At 36.0% G+C, this 14,196-nt stretch overlaps 1 protein-coding gene across 4 annotated transcripts in view; it reads right to left on the bottom strand.

Moving 5' to 3' along the window:
* AGFG1 (ArfGAP with FG repeats 1) overlaps positions 1-14,196 on the bottom strand; it is an 89,062-nt gene that overhangs the window by 31,264 nt on the left and 43,602 nt on the right. For all 4 annotated transcript variants that reach the window (NM_001135187.2, NM_004504.5, NM_001135188.2 and 1 more), the window contains exons 3-5: positions 9,891-10,006; positions 6,029-6,191; positions 5,039-5,192 (exon numbers count right to left, since the gene is read on the bottom strand). In NM_001135187.2, the coding sequence (NP_001128659.1) occupies positions 5,039-5,192; positions 6,029-6,191; positions 9,891-10,006 (433 nt within the window). The remainder of the gene's footprint in view (positions 1-5,038; positions 5,193-6,028; positions 6,192-9,890; positions 10,007-14,196) is intronic.

The following is a 14,196-nucleotide window of genomic DNA, read 5'->3' as shown; positions in this document are numbered from 1 at the left end:
CCCAACATTTAAAAAGAGGGCACTTCACAATAAACAAAAAGACTTCTAGCTTCTCTTATTAAAAAAAAAAAATCAATATATCTAGTATCCTAAACCCCTATTTCCATGTGGTAACAGATTAGAACATCCCCTTTAAAAAGGGCACCATAGTTCTTTAAACACAACATTATACTACTCATTTGTGTTACCTGAGTTGCAAGGCAGTTGGGTTTAGATCCTACAGTATAGAATGTGACAAAAATCAATTACAGTTTACAGTGCACAGGTTTTGGGATATGATGTTTATCATCAGGCAAAATAACCAAATTCAGTAGGTGAATTTTATTTCTAGCTTCATGCGTCTTTCTGTAGAAGATGACTTTTTCTGAACCCAATAATGACCCCACCCAGCAACACACATCCACAAATACTATACCTCAGCCTGAATGCTCACATGAAGACTAAAGGCTTCTGGCTTTTAAGTCACACTAAATTATCTACAAAAGAAAAAGTTTCCCTACAAAACAATGCTAATGAACCAGACTGGCATATGTGAATAATTATCATTTGCCATTAATGGTTCCATCAGTCGTATCAAACTGTTCAGGATAAAATTTTCACCTAATTTTTTTTAAAATTAACAAGAATATCAGGATGAGAAGAAATTGGCAATCAATGACTTTCTGAACTATATATGGAAAACTAAGGATTCTGAATGCTTGGAAAGGCTCTGGAAAAAGACATTTCAGTTAAACCATGACCTAGTATTTAACTAAAAACTACTCCAAGGCAAAACGTCAAAAGATGGTATCAACCATAGTAGAAGGAAAAATAAATGAGTAATTCAGTAGTTTCTTCTTGTAACAGGCATATACATTTTATTCTCCTGTAATGAAACCAAAAGTCAAATAAAGTAAAGAAAAAAAAGGTAATCTGAGCAGTCATTTGTAATTAAGAACTTCAGACTAAAAAACAACTCCTCTCAGGCAGCCTGACTCACAGCCTACATGTAGCTATTTCATTCTTTCTTCAGACAAGGAACAAAACAGTTAAGATTAACCACTTTCTATCAATCTGATCAAAATATAAGATTCTTTTCCTTTACTGCATATCCTACAATTAAATGATGGCTATTGTTTTCAAAGTGCATTTTAAGGGAGCTGTTGAAAGTATTAGTGCAACCATGGTACAAATTAGTCTGTAGAGTTGCAGTGACTTGTCTAACCATTTTTGGCCAATAGGGCTACAAAGAAAAGTCCAACATTACCTGTGAAGACTCACAAACTGCATTTAAAGAGAGAAAAACAAAGGGAACAAGAAATAAGTTGCAAATTTACAAAAGAATTTGGTGGTTATCAGTAATTTTGCATTACATTTCAATAATCCTAAAATGGAGATAAAACCAGAATATATTCATAAATTACACAAGTTTTACTCTATTTATTGGCTCTCCCACCAACTCTTTTTACCAGCACTCAAACGCAAGAGGTGAAAAAAGAGAGTTGGGGTCCTTATCTGGTCAGGGGGGAAATCGCTTCTTATCTGGAGGGTTACGGGGAAAGAGGTTCTCCATGTTTTCTGGGATTTTGCAGCTCAGGTAACACAGGAGAAGGGAAATCTACCACAACTCCAACAACTTAAGCAAAAGAAACCCAAAATTTCTTATCCTTCTCAGTACAACCTTTCCTGAAAAAAGAGATCCATGTCATCCTAGGACTCCTTTTTAAAGCAAATACACAAATGAGACATATAAAAATTACGCCAGTTTCCTTCTAAAGCATGTCCTTAGAAAATGTTTTTATTAATATTTAAAACAAAAGGTTCCCTTATTGCTTGCTAGAAAGAAATGTGGCTGGAGAGAAGTTTTTCTACAATTTTTCAAACTATCCCAAACAGCATATTTTGGAGTGTGATTATGTATAATATACTTCATATTATCATTATCCAAAAAGAAGCCAGGTCATCAAATTGAAAGAAAACGAAAAACCATCACAATCTCACAGGTAAGTAAAATAAGGCAAAGTAAGTTCTAAAATACAAACAGGAAGTCCATTCTATCAGCACTGGATTCTGTTATGCTCATAAAATTGTGAAATACATCTTTTACAAAGATACAGTCTTGAATTTTTCTTGTCCATAATTTAACTTACATAATCTATGACAAATAAAAGAGTAAGCTTTAGCCAATACCTCATACACATGTGCCAAAATAATATAAAGCAAAGTTTTAAATTATCAAAATAAAGCTATAAAATGACTAAATTCCTAAATTAATGTTCTACATTTGGTTTGATACTTATTTAATCACTCAAAATGCAGACTGGTAAACTTTCCATGATATAAACATCACAGCTTACTGGCATCCAAAATAGATTCCATACGCATTTCCAACACAAATACTATGTATGCTTTTACACTGTTTAAGCATAAAGAAGCAACTGTAAAGACTCAAGAAATCACCAAGCTGTTAGGAAATGAATCTAAACCATTTGTGGAATCTTAACTAAGACTGAAACATTAAAACAGCATAAAAACTTGTCATAAAGTATGATCCTTTTTCTTAAATGCATGTAAACATACAAACATACATACATAAGTGTATATGTGTATACGTATGTACATATATATGAAGTGTGTATAAAAGAGAGAAGACAAACAATGTTTATTGTACCTTTTAGATGGTAAACCACTTAAATGCATCATCTCACTTGAACCTTGCCACTTATCAAAGACAATTTATAGAATAGAAAACTTAGAAATGTTAGGTAATTTGCCCAAAGTTACACAGATAATAAGCAAGAAAGCCAGCATCTGAACCCAGGTTGTCCCAACTCCAAAGCCCAGGTTCTTTTCACTACATTATGCCACTTCCCTATCAGACTATTGCTATTACAATTAAGGAGAGATACAAGTGACCAAATCTATACTTCAATAATCAATTTTTAAATATTACCTAACCTAAGTACCTCTGCAAGGTTTGCATGCTTGTTAACAAAATAAAACTCCATAAATCCCAATTTCTGGTGACATGCATTAAACATGTTTGTAACAAATATGTTAAATCTGAGAATAAGGAAGGGAGAAAAGGCCATTCAAAGACCACAAGAGTTCTATCAAAAAAGTATCTTTAGGGCCGGGCAGAGTGGCTCACACCTGTAATCCCAGTACTTTGGGAGGCCAAGGCAGGTGGAACACCTGAGGTCAGGAGTTCGAGACCAGCCTGGTCAACATGGTGAAACCCCATCTTTACTAAAAAACACAAAAAACAGCCGGGAGTGGTGGCGGGCGCCTGTGATCCCAGTTACTCAGGAGGCTGAGGCAGGAGAATTGGCTGAACCCGGGAGGCAGAGGTTGCGGTAAGCCAAGATTGTGCCACTGCACACCAGTGTGAACAAGGGAGTGAGACTCCATCTCAAAAAAAAAAAAAAAAAAAAAGAGGCTGGGCACAGTGGCTCATGCCTGTAATCCCAGCACTTTGGGAGGCCAAGGTGGGTAGATCACTTAAGGTCAGGAGTTCGAGACCAGCCTGGCCAACATGGTGAAACCCCATCTCCATTAAAAATAAAAAATTAGTATTTTGTATTACTAAAATACAAAATTTTACATTTGTATATAATTTCGGGTGCTGTGGCACACGCTTGTAATCCCAGCTACCTGGGAGGCTGAGGTGAGAGAATAGCTTAAACCCAGGTGGCGGAGGTCGCAGTAAGATTGTACCACTGCACTCCAGCCTCGGCGAGAGAGCGAGACTCCACCTCAAATAAATGAATGAATGAATGAGTTGTATCTATAGGAACCAACCTCACAATGTTCCTACTCCTAAGGTGGGCTAATTTGAGTACTACTAAGGATAATAATGACAGCAAACTGAGATGTAGCAAATGTTTTAATCTATGAAGTCATAATGATACTAAAGAAAAAAGTCACCATTATAAAATGCTAGGAAATCAACTCATTATTCTGATATCTGATGGAAAAGAATCATGTATTCTGACTTTCCTAAACAAATCATGCCACCAGATAAAGATTTTTAAATAGTATTTCAGCTAATAAGTGAAGGAATAAATTCAGAACATCATTATTTTTATGCAATGGACTCGGGTACTGAGCACCAAGAGCTAACATTATAAAAACACAATCCAAAATTACATGCCTCTTAAATCCCAAGTAGTAAGAATATCCCCAGCCACCCATCCTCCTAATAGGAAGAACCTGTAACTGATTAAGTCTCTGGATCCAACAACCTAATAACAAGAAATAGAACATAGGAACTTGTTACAGGGCACCATAGTGGTGCAATCAACTAATTCAGACTACTGAAAACTGTATAGGACAAATAAGCAAATTTCTTCACTAATTACAGAGGAGGAAAAAGAAGGAATACAGGAAAAATCTTATGAACTAAGAGACCTAAGAGACATGTCTCACAACTGCAGTCTGTGGACCTTGTTGAAAATCTGATTCAAACAAACTGTATGTATGTATATATGCATGTATGTACATATGTACGTATGTATGTGTATGGAAAAATCTGAACTATAATGAACATTTGAATCCTAATGAATTATTATTACTACTATTATTTAGGGAATGATGCTACTAATATGGTTATATTTAACAAAAAAAGTATGTTTTATAGATTGATATACACAATATTTAAGGATAAACTAATACTATGTCTAAAATTTGCTTCAAAATAATATGACAGTGACTGGAATGACAAATGAAACAAGATTAGCCATGAGTGATTAGCACATAAACGTTAGAGTATCCAATTACTTTTGAATATTTTCAATTTCATAAAGAATAAAAAATAGACATTACATCCTTTCCCCATTTTTCCACGGAAAGAGGTCATGCCAACCGACATTAAATATAATCTCTTCTGTGATTAAAAAGCAACACAATTATATGGTTACATATTACAGCTCAACAGTTACAAGTGACAAAACATTTTCAACAAAAAATGTTTACTGATCCTCAAAGTGTGATAAAGAATTGATGTTTCTTGGTGTTTTATATGCATCCCCAGCAAAAGCTGTTGGGAAAAAACACTTACCTGCATGACTGTTGAAATGTGCAAAGTTAGCAAAATTGGCTGTAGCTGTTGACTGAGGAGCTGGAGCAGCAAAGATGTCTGAGCCGAGATCACTTAAAAGGTCAAATTGCTTCTTCTCCTGCTGCTGCCCTTGAGAACGACCTACAACTGGGGACTACAAACCACATATTAACTATAAAGATATTCCAGTCGGATCTGCAAAATCTTTATACAAAACTATCTGCAAACTTAAAACACACTTATACATACGAAGAGTTACAGTATGCTGAGTTAACCTTTCTCATTTTTCACTCAATCTTTTGTGAAAACAGAGAAATTTATCTAAATGTCTTAGTATGTGTCATCAAAAAGGGCAGGATTTAATCCACAGTACTACGCCTCTGAACCATTCTTGTATAGGATAGAGGCTGCAATGCCACACAGTAACAGATCTGTCACAGCCCCATCAACTATAATAAAGTGTAGAAGACAAACTTTAGGTAGCAACTTATGAAAATATTCCATTTTGTTCATTTTTAAGAATAAGGTATAATGCAAAGTCCCTTGTGTTTCAATGATCAACATGCTTCACAATCACACATGTGGGAAAACTCTACTACTAAAGAAATCCCTTCCTAGAAAAGTGTATCAAAGAGACTATACATTCTAACTCTGATGGTCACCATAGATTCATGTTTTACAAATTGTATAACACATGATATATACATGTATACACACACACACATATATATAGCTATAGCAACATTCCTGTATAACTCACCTTTACAAAGTTGCAGAGAAGTCAAAGAAACTCATATTAGCAATAGCAAAAAGAACAAGTATATATACATTTCAACCACTTAACCAACAATTTCTTAATGTATAACAAACCATTGGAACATAATGCTACTGGCATACAAGATTATGCTGCTGTCTTAAACAATTCTCAAATTCTTGATACTCAAGCCCTCTTTAAGTCGAATTCCCTACAAAGATTCAAAGACTACTCACCTGACTAGGTGTGCCCTTATTTAAGTGCAGTGTTGGTGCAGAATCCCCTAAAAGAGATTTCAGTGGTTTGACCTCAGGTGTGCTGCTTGTGCTACTGGCAGAGGACCCTGAAATAGATGCATGAACTGATGCCACGACTTTGGCTTGTTCTGGCGGGACATACCTAAAACATGTAAAAAACAGTTAACTAAAAAAAAATGTAGGTAATTCTATATCAAAAAATGATAAGCTTAATTCTAACTTTGTACAAGATTGTTTCACCATTAATCTTATCTGAAAACCCTCTCACACAGAATAACTTTGCATATTTTTTAAAAAAGGAACGACAGCTTAAGACTACACCCATTAAATATTTGAAATACTCAGAGAAAAGAGAAGACTAACCACAAAACTTGTTTCAATTACTTATTTATGGTTTTTCTAAGATATTAAGTACAATATAAGAAATAACTGCTTTTTTTAAACAGAGGACCTACAATTAGTCATCACCATGAATAGTTCATACTATAATTTTTAAAATTATCTTAAGATCTAAATAACATTTGAAGAAAGATGAGGTAGGAAAACATTTGTAATATTACAGTTAACAGCCTAAAATATAAAGGCTTATTACATCTGTAAGAATAAGATCATCCCATTTTAAATGAACAAAAGAAGCAATTCACAGAAGACAGGAGACACAAAAATGAAAACACTTTTAACCTGACAAAAATGCAAATTAAGGTTTTATTCACCTATGAGCTAAGTGTGAACTTTACAATTTTTTATTGCTACCTACTAAAATATATAAATAGGTGTGCTTTGTGCACCAGAAGTGCCACTTCCAGAAACATCCTTAAGAATTGGTAAGTGTATACAGATGCATGTACACATGGATGTTAACCACAGTCCTCTCTTTATAATTTCACAAAAACTGGGAAACAAACCCAACATCTATCAAGGAAAAAAAATTTACGATAATACAATACTCATAGCTACTCTGCTTTGACATGGAAAGAGGAAACTTCACAGGTCTTTCAGATTTGATTCCAGTCATATAAACACATGATTTATGTGAGGAGGCGAGTCAAGAAAGGAGAGGTAGCAAGGATATAATAATGTCCAAACATAGGCAATCCTGACCTCTAGGTGTGGGATTATGTGAGAGCTTTTGCTCTTTGTAATTCTGGGTTTTGTCCTACCCTCCTTCTTATTCCCCATATGAAGTAGGTGAGGAAAGAAGGAAAACCATGCTTAAGAGCACCTGTTCCAGAGACAAGAGTTCAAATCCCAGCTCTACCACTAAATGGCTGTGAAACCTTGGGCAAACTATTAATACTTCAACTCTTTGTGCTTCCATTTTTTTCATTTATAAAATGGAGAGGCAGAGTTGCCTAGGTTTAAACAAGTTAACATTTGTAAAGCACTGAGAACAATTCCTGGTATACGTGTTAACTAAGTGTTCACTGTCACTAAACTACATAATAATCACAAACAACTGCTTTCAAGTAAATGGGAGAGATAAAAGATGTATGAGAATGAATACAAGAAGTTATATTTTCCCATAATTTAGCATACTACTAATACAAATTCTTCAGTATAGCCAAGTCTTATCAAAGGATAAAATCAAATGATAGTTATTGGTTCAAAAGACTCACCTGGCAAAGTAATATGCTACCATATTTTTACTATCAACCCACCTTCTAGGATTTTCTTCTTTCCTGAACTTAAATTTTACTGGTGTATTTTAATCTATTTTCATACCTGATGTCTTCTAGTATAACACAGAAAGTGATTTTGAGAACTGGTCAAAAGAACAGTTTCAAAATCCCTTTGGATAACACCATCATCACTGTTTTAAGTATAGTTACAGTGAGTATTTTTAGAGATGCTGCATCTGGATAGTGCTTATTCCATGTTAGAAACCAATTTCACTGCTTGCTAGCTGTATGTTACAGGTGTGCAGCAGTCTGGATTAAAAACATACAGGTCCTGGCCCTCTTAATGATGGTCACCTGTCCCACCACTTGAAGTCTCTATTTGTATAACTCTTATTATCCTGTTTCTCAGGAAAGAAAAAAAATAACATAAACTGTAATTATTTGAGGTTTCTAGGTATTTGCGTTATAGTTTGAATGAATAATACATTACTGTTATAAATGTGGGGGTAAGGATCTATGATTTTAATTCTACCAACTGTTACTCACACTCACTTTTCTGTTGATAGCTAGAGCTGACCATAAACTAATCCCTAACCAAACTCACTTTCTGAATTGGTAAAAGTAACACGGCTGAGAAAACAAAACTAGGTTAGGGCTATGTAAGGAGAACAGTCTTTCCTACAGGGTAGAATGTCTAGGAAATTCAGAACCAAAATGATAAAAGGATAATTATACCTTTCATTTTAAAAGAATCATTTATGCTACCATATTTTTACTACCAACCCACCTTCTAGTATTTTCTTCTTTCCTGAACTTAAATTTTACTGGTGTATTTTAATCTATTTTCATACTTGATGTCTTCTAGTACAGCTGAATATAGCCCTGACTAATCTTGCCTTGCAAAAAGTAGTCTATTTTAGGCCGGGCACAGTGGCTCACAACTGTAATCCCAGCACTTTGGGAGGCTGAGGCAGGTGGATCACCTGAGGTCAGGAGTTCAAGACCAGCCTGGCCAACATGGCGAAACCCTGTCTCTACTAAAAATGCAAAAAATTAGCCAGGCGTGGTGGTGGGTGCCTGTAATCCCAGCTACTTGGGAGGCTGAGGCATGAGAATTGCTTGAACCCAGGAGGCGGGGGTTGCAGTGAGCCGAGATCGCACCATTGCACTCCAGCCTAGGTGACAAAAGCAAAACTCAGTCTCCAAAAAAAAAAGAAAAATGTAGTCTATTTTGGAAAGTAGTAAGAATACAAATTTTGATAGAGCATGCAAGTCAGAGCTAATGTGCTCCTGAATGAAGGTAAAGACCTCTGCTGTAAACCACAACAAATGTTCCCTCAGGACCAAAACAGGCTCTGAACAGATTCTCTTGGGTTGAAACAGAGTTCCTCAAGCAAACAAGAAGCTCGTTACTTCCCCATTATTTATTCCCTCTATTTTGACTCTCTGCCCCATCTTGTTAACCTCCCAAGATGAAAGTATCCACTATGCAATACTATTAAAGAAATAACCAAAAGTTCATAGTTAATGAGTCTTAGTAACTTAAATTGTGCTCATATAGCTAAAAATGAAGAACCCTCAGTAGCTGAACACTAGCTTTATAGATATAGTCCCTATTCCATAGCAAGGGGCTTACTAGCTATATGTACAACCTGTTGGAATTAATTTTTAAAAATTAACATCTGATAGATTTAGTTAGGGAAAAGTAAATGCTCCCTTCTTAACCAGAAAGTAAACTGATTTCTTAGGTCAAAAGAAAAAATATTTTGAGCAAAGGCTACAACAGACAATTAAGTAGATGGATTACTACACCAGAGCTTTAGCATAGTGCCTAGTATACAGAAGATGAAACTCAATAAATTAAAAAAAGATATGACTCAGTAAATACTTGCTAAATTAATGATTTTTAAGAACGGAGGCTTTGTAGGGCAAAACATATTTAAAGAAGCTAACAGAGATAGGGAATGATTAGAAGGAAGAATCCCTAACTTTCCTGGTAATTATTACAACAAAAAGCCTGCTGCCAGGAACAGATGAGTTAAGATAAAGTAGAAGTAAAGGTTTTCAGAAACCAAACCAACAAAAAGCCAAGGGATAATGAATTATATACCTATCTAGTTCTCACTGTCTGTCTTTTATCCTTCATTGTGTCAGACTAACCTTACCCATAGTTAATATGTGATTTGGGGAGGCTTTATTCTACATACAAACTCTTCACTCACCATCTTTTCTTTTCATACTTTTCTTGTAGAAACTCTTTCACTTTTTGTGGATCCCTGAAGTCTGGAATTGCTGAAGATCTATCATCAAATAATCCTAGCCAAATCTGTTTACAGACCTTTGGAAAGAATTAAAAAAATATATGTTAAATTCAACATCTTCACTTAATGAAATTTTAAGGGGATACTATGATTCTTTCAGGAAGCTAATCTACATAATAATTTTAATAATATGCTTTCAATGAGGATACTAATAAACAGGAACTAAATTTATTTTTAATATGTTGCAGTATGCAGTAAAATTTTAGCAACAAAATCATTAAAAAGGGGAAATGAAGAGTGAAGTGGGATTTCAGAGGACCTGGGGTCTTTTCAGTCTTGGCATAATCATAAACTTCACCATTAGCAAAGTCATGTAACCTGCTCAGTTCCCTTACAAAACAAAGGAACTGAACCAATGGCTATTTCACAGGCCCTTTAGCAAGTCTAAAAAACCAAAAAGAACAAACAAAAATACTAGAATCATAAACACTTTAAAATTGTAACAATAAACACAAATATAAGGCAAACACACTATTAGCTTTATAGCTGTCTCCTATGCATTTTTGGTCCAATAGCTAAAAAATGAGAATCTGAGATATTTAACTTTCAGAAAAACCAAAAGAGAAATGAAATAAAATAGCACAAAAAGAACTATAAAGAGAAAAACTGATAAAGCAGACTTCATCAAAATAAAAAACTATTCTTCAAAAAAACTTAAAAAGTACAAAAATCAAGACACCAACTGATCAAAAGTATTTGTAAAATGTATAAGAACTTGAAACTGGAATATATAAAGAATTCCTACAACTCAATTATAAAAGACAGATAACCCAACACTTGTTTTGGTTTTTGTTTGTTTGAGAAAAGGTCTGTCTCTATCACCCAGGATGGAGTGCAGTGGTGCAATCTCAGCTTATTGCCTCCCAGGCTCAAGCCATCCTCCCACTTCAGCCTCCTGAGTAAGCTGGGACTACAGGAGTGCAGCACCACAGGTGGCTAATTTTTTGTATTTTTTGTAGAGATGGTGTTTCACCATGTTGCCCAGGCTGGTCTCGAACTCATGAGCTCAAGCGATCTGCCCGCCTCAGCCTCCCAAAGTGCTGGGATTACAGGCGCGAGCCACCATGCCCAGCCAACACTTGTTTAAAGCGGGGGCAAAAGGTCTGAACAAACACTTCACCAAAGATATCAGCAGCCCACTATCATTAGTCATGCATAAAATGCAAATTAAAATGACACTGAGGCCGGGTGCAGGCGGATCACCTGAGGTCAGGAGTTCGGGACTAGACTGGCCAAAATGGTGAAACCCCATCTCTACTAAAAATACAAAAAAATTAGCCAGGCGTAGTGGTGCATGCCTGTAATCCCAGCTACTCAGGAGGCTGAGTCAGAAGAATGGCTTGAACCCAGGAAGGGGAGGTTGCAGTGAGCCAAGATCATGTCATTGCACTCCAGCCTGGGCGACAAGAGCAAAACTCTGTCTTTAAAAAAAAAAAAAAAAAAAAAAAGACACTGAGACTCCACAAGACAGACATGCATATACTACTAGAAAAGCCGAAAACAAAGTGTGACTGCATCATGTGTTGGTAACAATGTGGAACAACCGGAATTCTTTAGAATGTAAAATGGTGTAAGCACTTTGGAAAACATTTGGCAGTTTCTCAAGAGTTAAACATAGACCTAGCATATGATGTAGCCATTCTACTTCTAGGTATTTATTCAAGAAAAATAAAAGCACTTTTCCACACTCAGACTGTACATAAATATTTGTAGCAGCTTTACTGATAATAACCCCAAACTGGAAATCACCCAATTGTTCATAAACAAGTGAATAAACAAATGGGAGAATATCCAAAGAAGAACATTATTCAGCAATTAAAAGGAGAAAACCATTAATACAAGAAACATGAATAAACCTCAAGATTATGCTGAAAGAAACATGTGCACCCCCCCACCAAAACGTATATACTGCATATTTCCATTCATTTAAATTTTTAATGTAAACCAGTCTACAGCGATGAAAAGCAGATCAGTGGATTCATTACAAAGGGTTGCACAATGAAAATATATGCTATCTTGTTATTGTGGTAGTGGTTTCATGATACATACAAATGTCAAAACTCATCAAATTGTACACTTTAAGTATGTACACGTTATCAGTTTAAATATCCAAGTTATCAACTATTCCTCAGCAAAATTATCAAAAACAAGTCCACGAGTTTCCAAAATACATTATTCTAAAGAATAAGCAATTACGACACTATGAAAAGAGCATAGTATCTGGTTTCAAAAACCCTGACAAGTATTTAAGAAATCAGGGAAGGAAAAGCGTACTTCTCAATCTTACCTGCTCACTGAACTGGGTATGGGAGAAATAAGAGAAAGGTTAGGAGAAAGGACTTGCCCTTCTCCTTTCCTATCATGTCCCCAAATCTGTTTCAAAACATTTCTTGTGGGTCGGGCGTGGTGGCTCACGCCTGTAATCCCAGCACTATGGGAGGCCAAGGCAGGCGGATCATGAGGTCAGGAGATCGAGACCATCATGGCCAACATGGTGAAACCCCACCTCTACTAAAAATACAGAAAAAACAAATAGCTGGGCATGGTGGCGCATGCCTGTAACCCCAGCTACTCCAGAAGCTGAAGCAGGAGAATCGCTTGAACCCGGGAGTCAGAGGTTGCAGTGAGCCGAGATTGCGCCACTGCACTCCAGCCTGATGACAGAGTGAGACTCCGTGTCTGTCTGTCTATATATATATTTCTTGTGGTTCCTTCCTATTCCAGGCTCAGTACAGATACTATAAAGTCATTTAGGAAGTGACAGTTAAAACGAGTGAGAACTAGAGTAAGGCACAATCCATTATGAAAACATTTCACTGGCAACGCCTGAGAAGTACAGACATCCAGGAACATTAGTACAACTTACTGCCAGAAATACTACAGACCTTTAAGAGACCCAGCTTGTCCAATATTTAGCCACTTACAAAGAACTACATGGGACTCTCCTCAGGCAGAAACCTAACTAATGATTCTCCCAAAATGTAATTCTTTAAGATTTTTAAAGATTTATCAGTTACATTCATAAAGGGAGGCCTGGAAGTTTTTCATTCTTCTATTTTAAAACTTCCCAAATGAGAAAACAAGAGACAGGGTAGTTATTTACCCAAAGCCATGAAACTATTGACTGTATTTGATGGACACTTTACTATATTCCAAAACCTCTGCCACATACCACTTTTAAAACTAAAATCAATAAATGAATAAATAATAAGCATACAAATAAATAAATAAAATGAAGCAGATGGGCTAAGGGCAGACAGATCATAGAGCTGCCATCTTGGCACTCGTAACGCAAAGCAAAGATGGAGTGCTTGATGATAAACTATTTGACATAAGCAGCCTGCAGGATTCCCTCAAAATTGTTTACTAACTGCTGTGGTTCTGTTCCTGCTCTCTGGAAGGTCACACTGCTAGAGAAAAAAGTCATTAAAAATAGCTGCTTGAGTCCTCTACAAATTCAAACTGTCTCACTGTCAAAGTCCCTCAAAGTTATTAATCGGCTCTAATTTCCTATTATATTGCCCCACAGCAGCTATTTCCTATATTTATAGATCAAAATCCTAACCAATCTTAACACTCTTGACAGTTGAATTCTTACTCAAGTGAAGTAACTCTCAATATGTGATTCCCAGTTCCGTAAATCAGCAAGCAACATCAGTGTCAACTAAGAACTTGTTGGAAATGCAAATTTTCAGGAGCAACCCAAGACATGTGAAATCAGTCCCTCTAGGTAGAACCCAGCAATCTGTTTTATCAAGTCCTCCAGGTTATTCTGAAGTGGGCTAAAGTTTGAAAACCAATGCTTTAGTAACATCTAGGCCACCAGATGGAAACTTACTTTCTACCTGTAATTTTATTCATCTTTCCTTGCCTCTGTATCAGAACACCAGAGAGAGAGGGAAAGAGAGATTCAAACTATACACAGCTTTCAGCATCTCCCAAATTTAGCCAGTAAGCCTATTACGGGGTAAGATTCATTTAACACAGACAGTGTTTCAGTGACACACCTGGGAAAACATCAATCTCTAATTCCTTATGACCTACTCACAGTTTAGTCCCTGAAAGGTTGCATTCTGCTCCCAACATTCTACTAACATTGCTATTTCAGGCATCTAGATTTGCTGATAGAGTATAAAGTCTCTTTTCTGCTTGTTTTGGTTTTTTACTAAAATAAACACCATCAACTGAAAAAAGGGGGTTTCAAGGT

This window comes from Homo sapiens, chromosome 2 (genome assembly GCF_000001405.40).
Source record: "Homo sapiens chromosome 2, GRCh38.p14 Primary Assembly".
In the NCBI taxonomy this organism is placed as follows: domain Eukaryota; kingdom Metazoa; phylum Chordata; class Mammalia; order Primates; family Hominidae; genus Homo; species Homo sapiens.
Note: the sequence above shows the minus strand (reverse complement) of the source record. Positions and strands in the feature narration are given on the sequence as shown.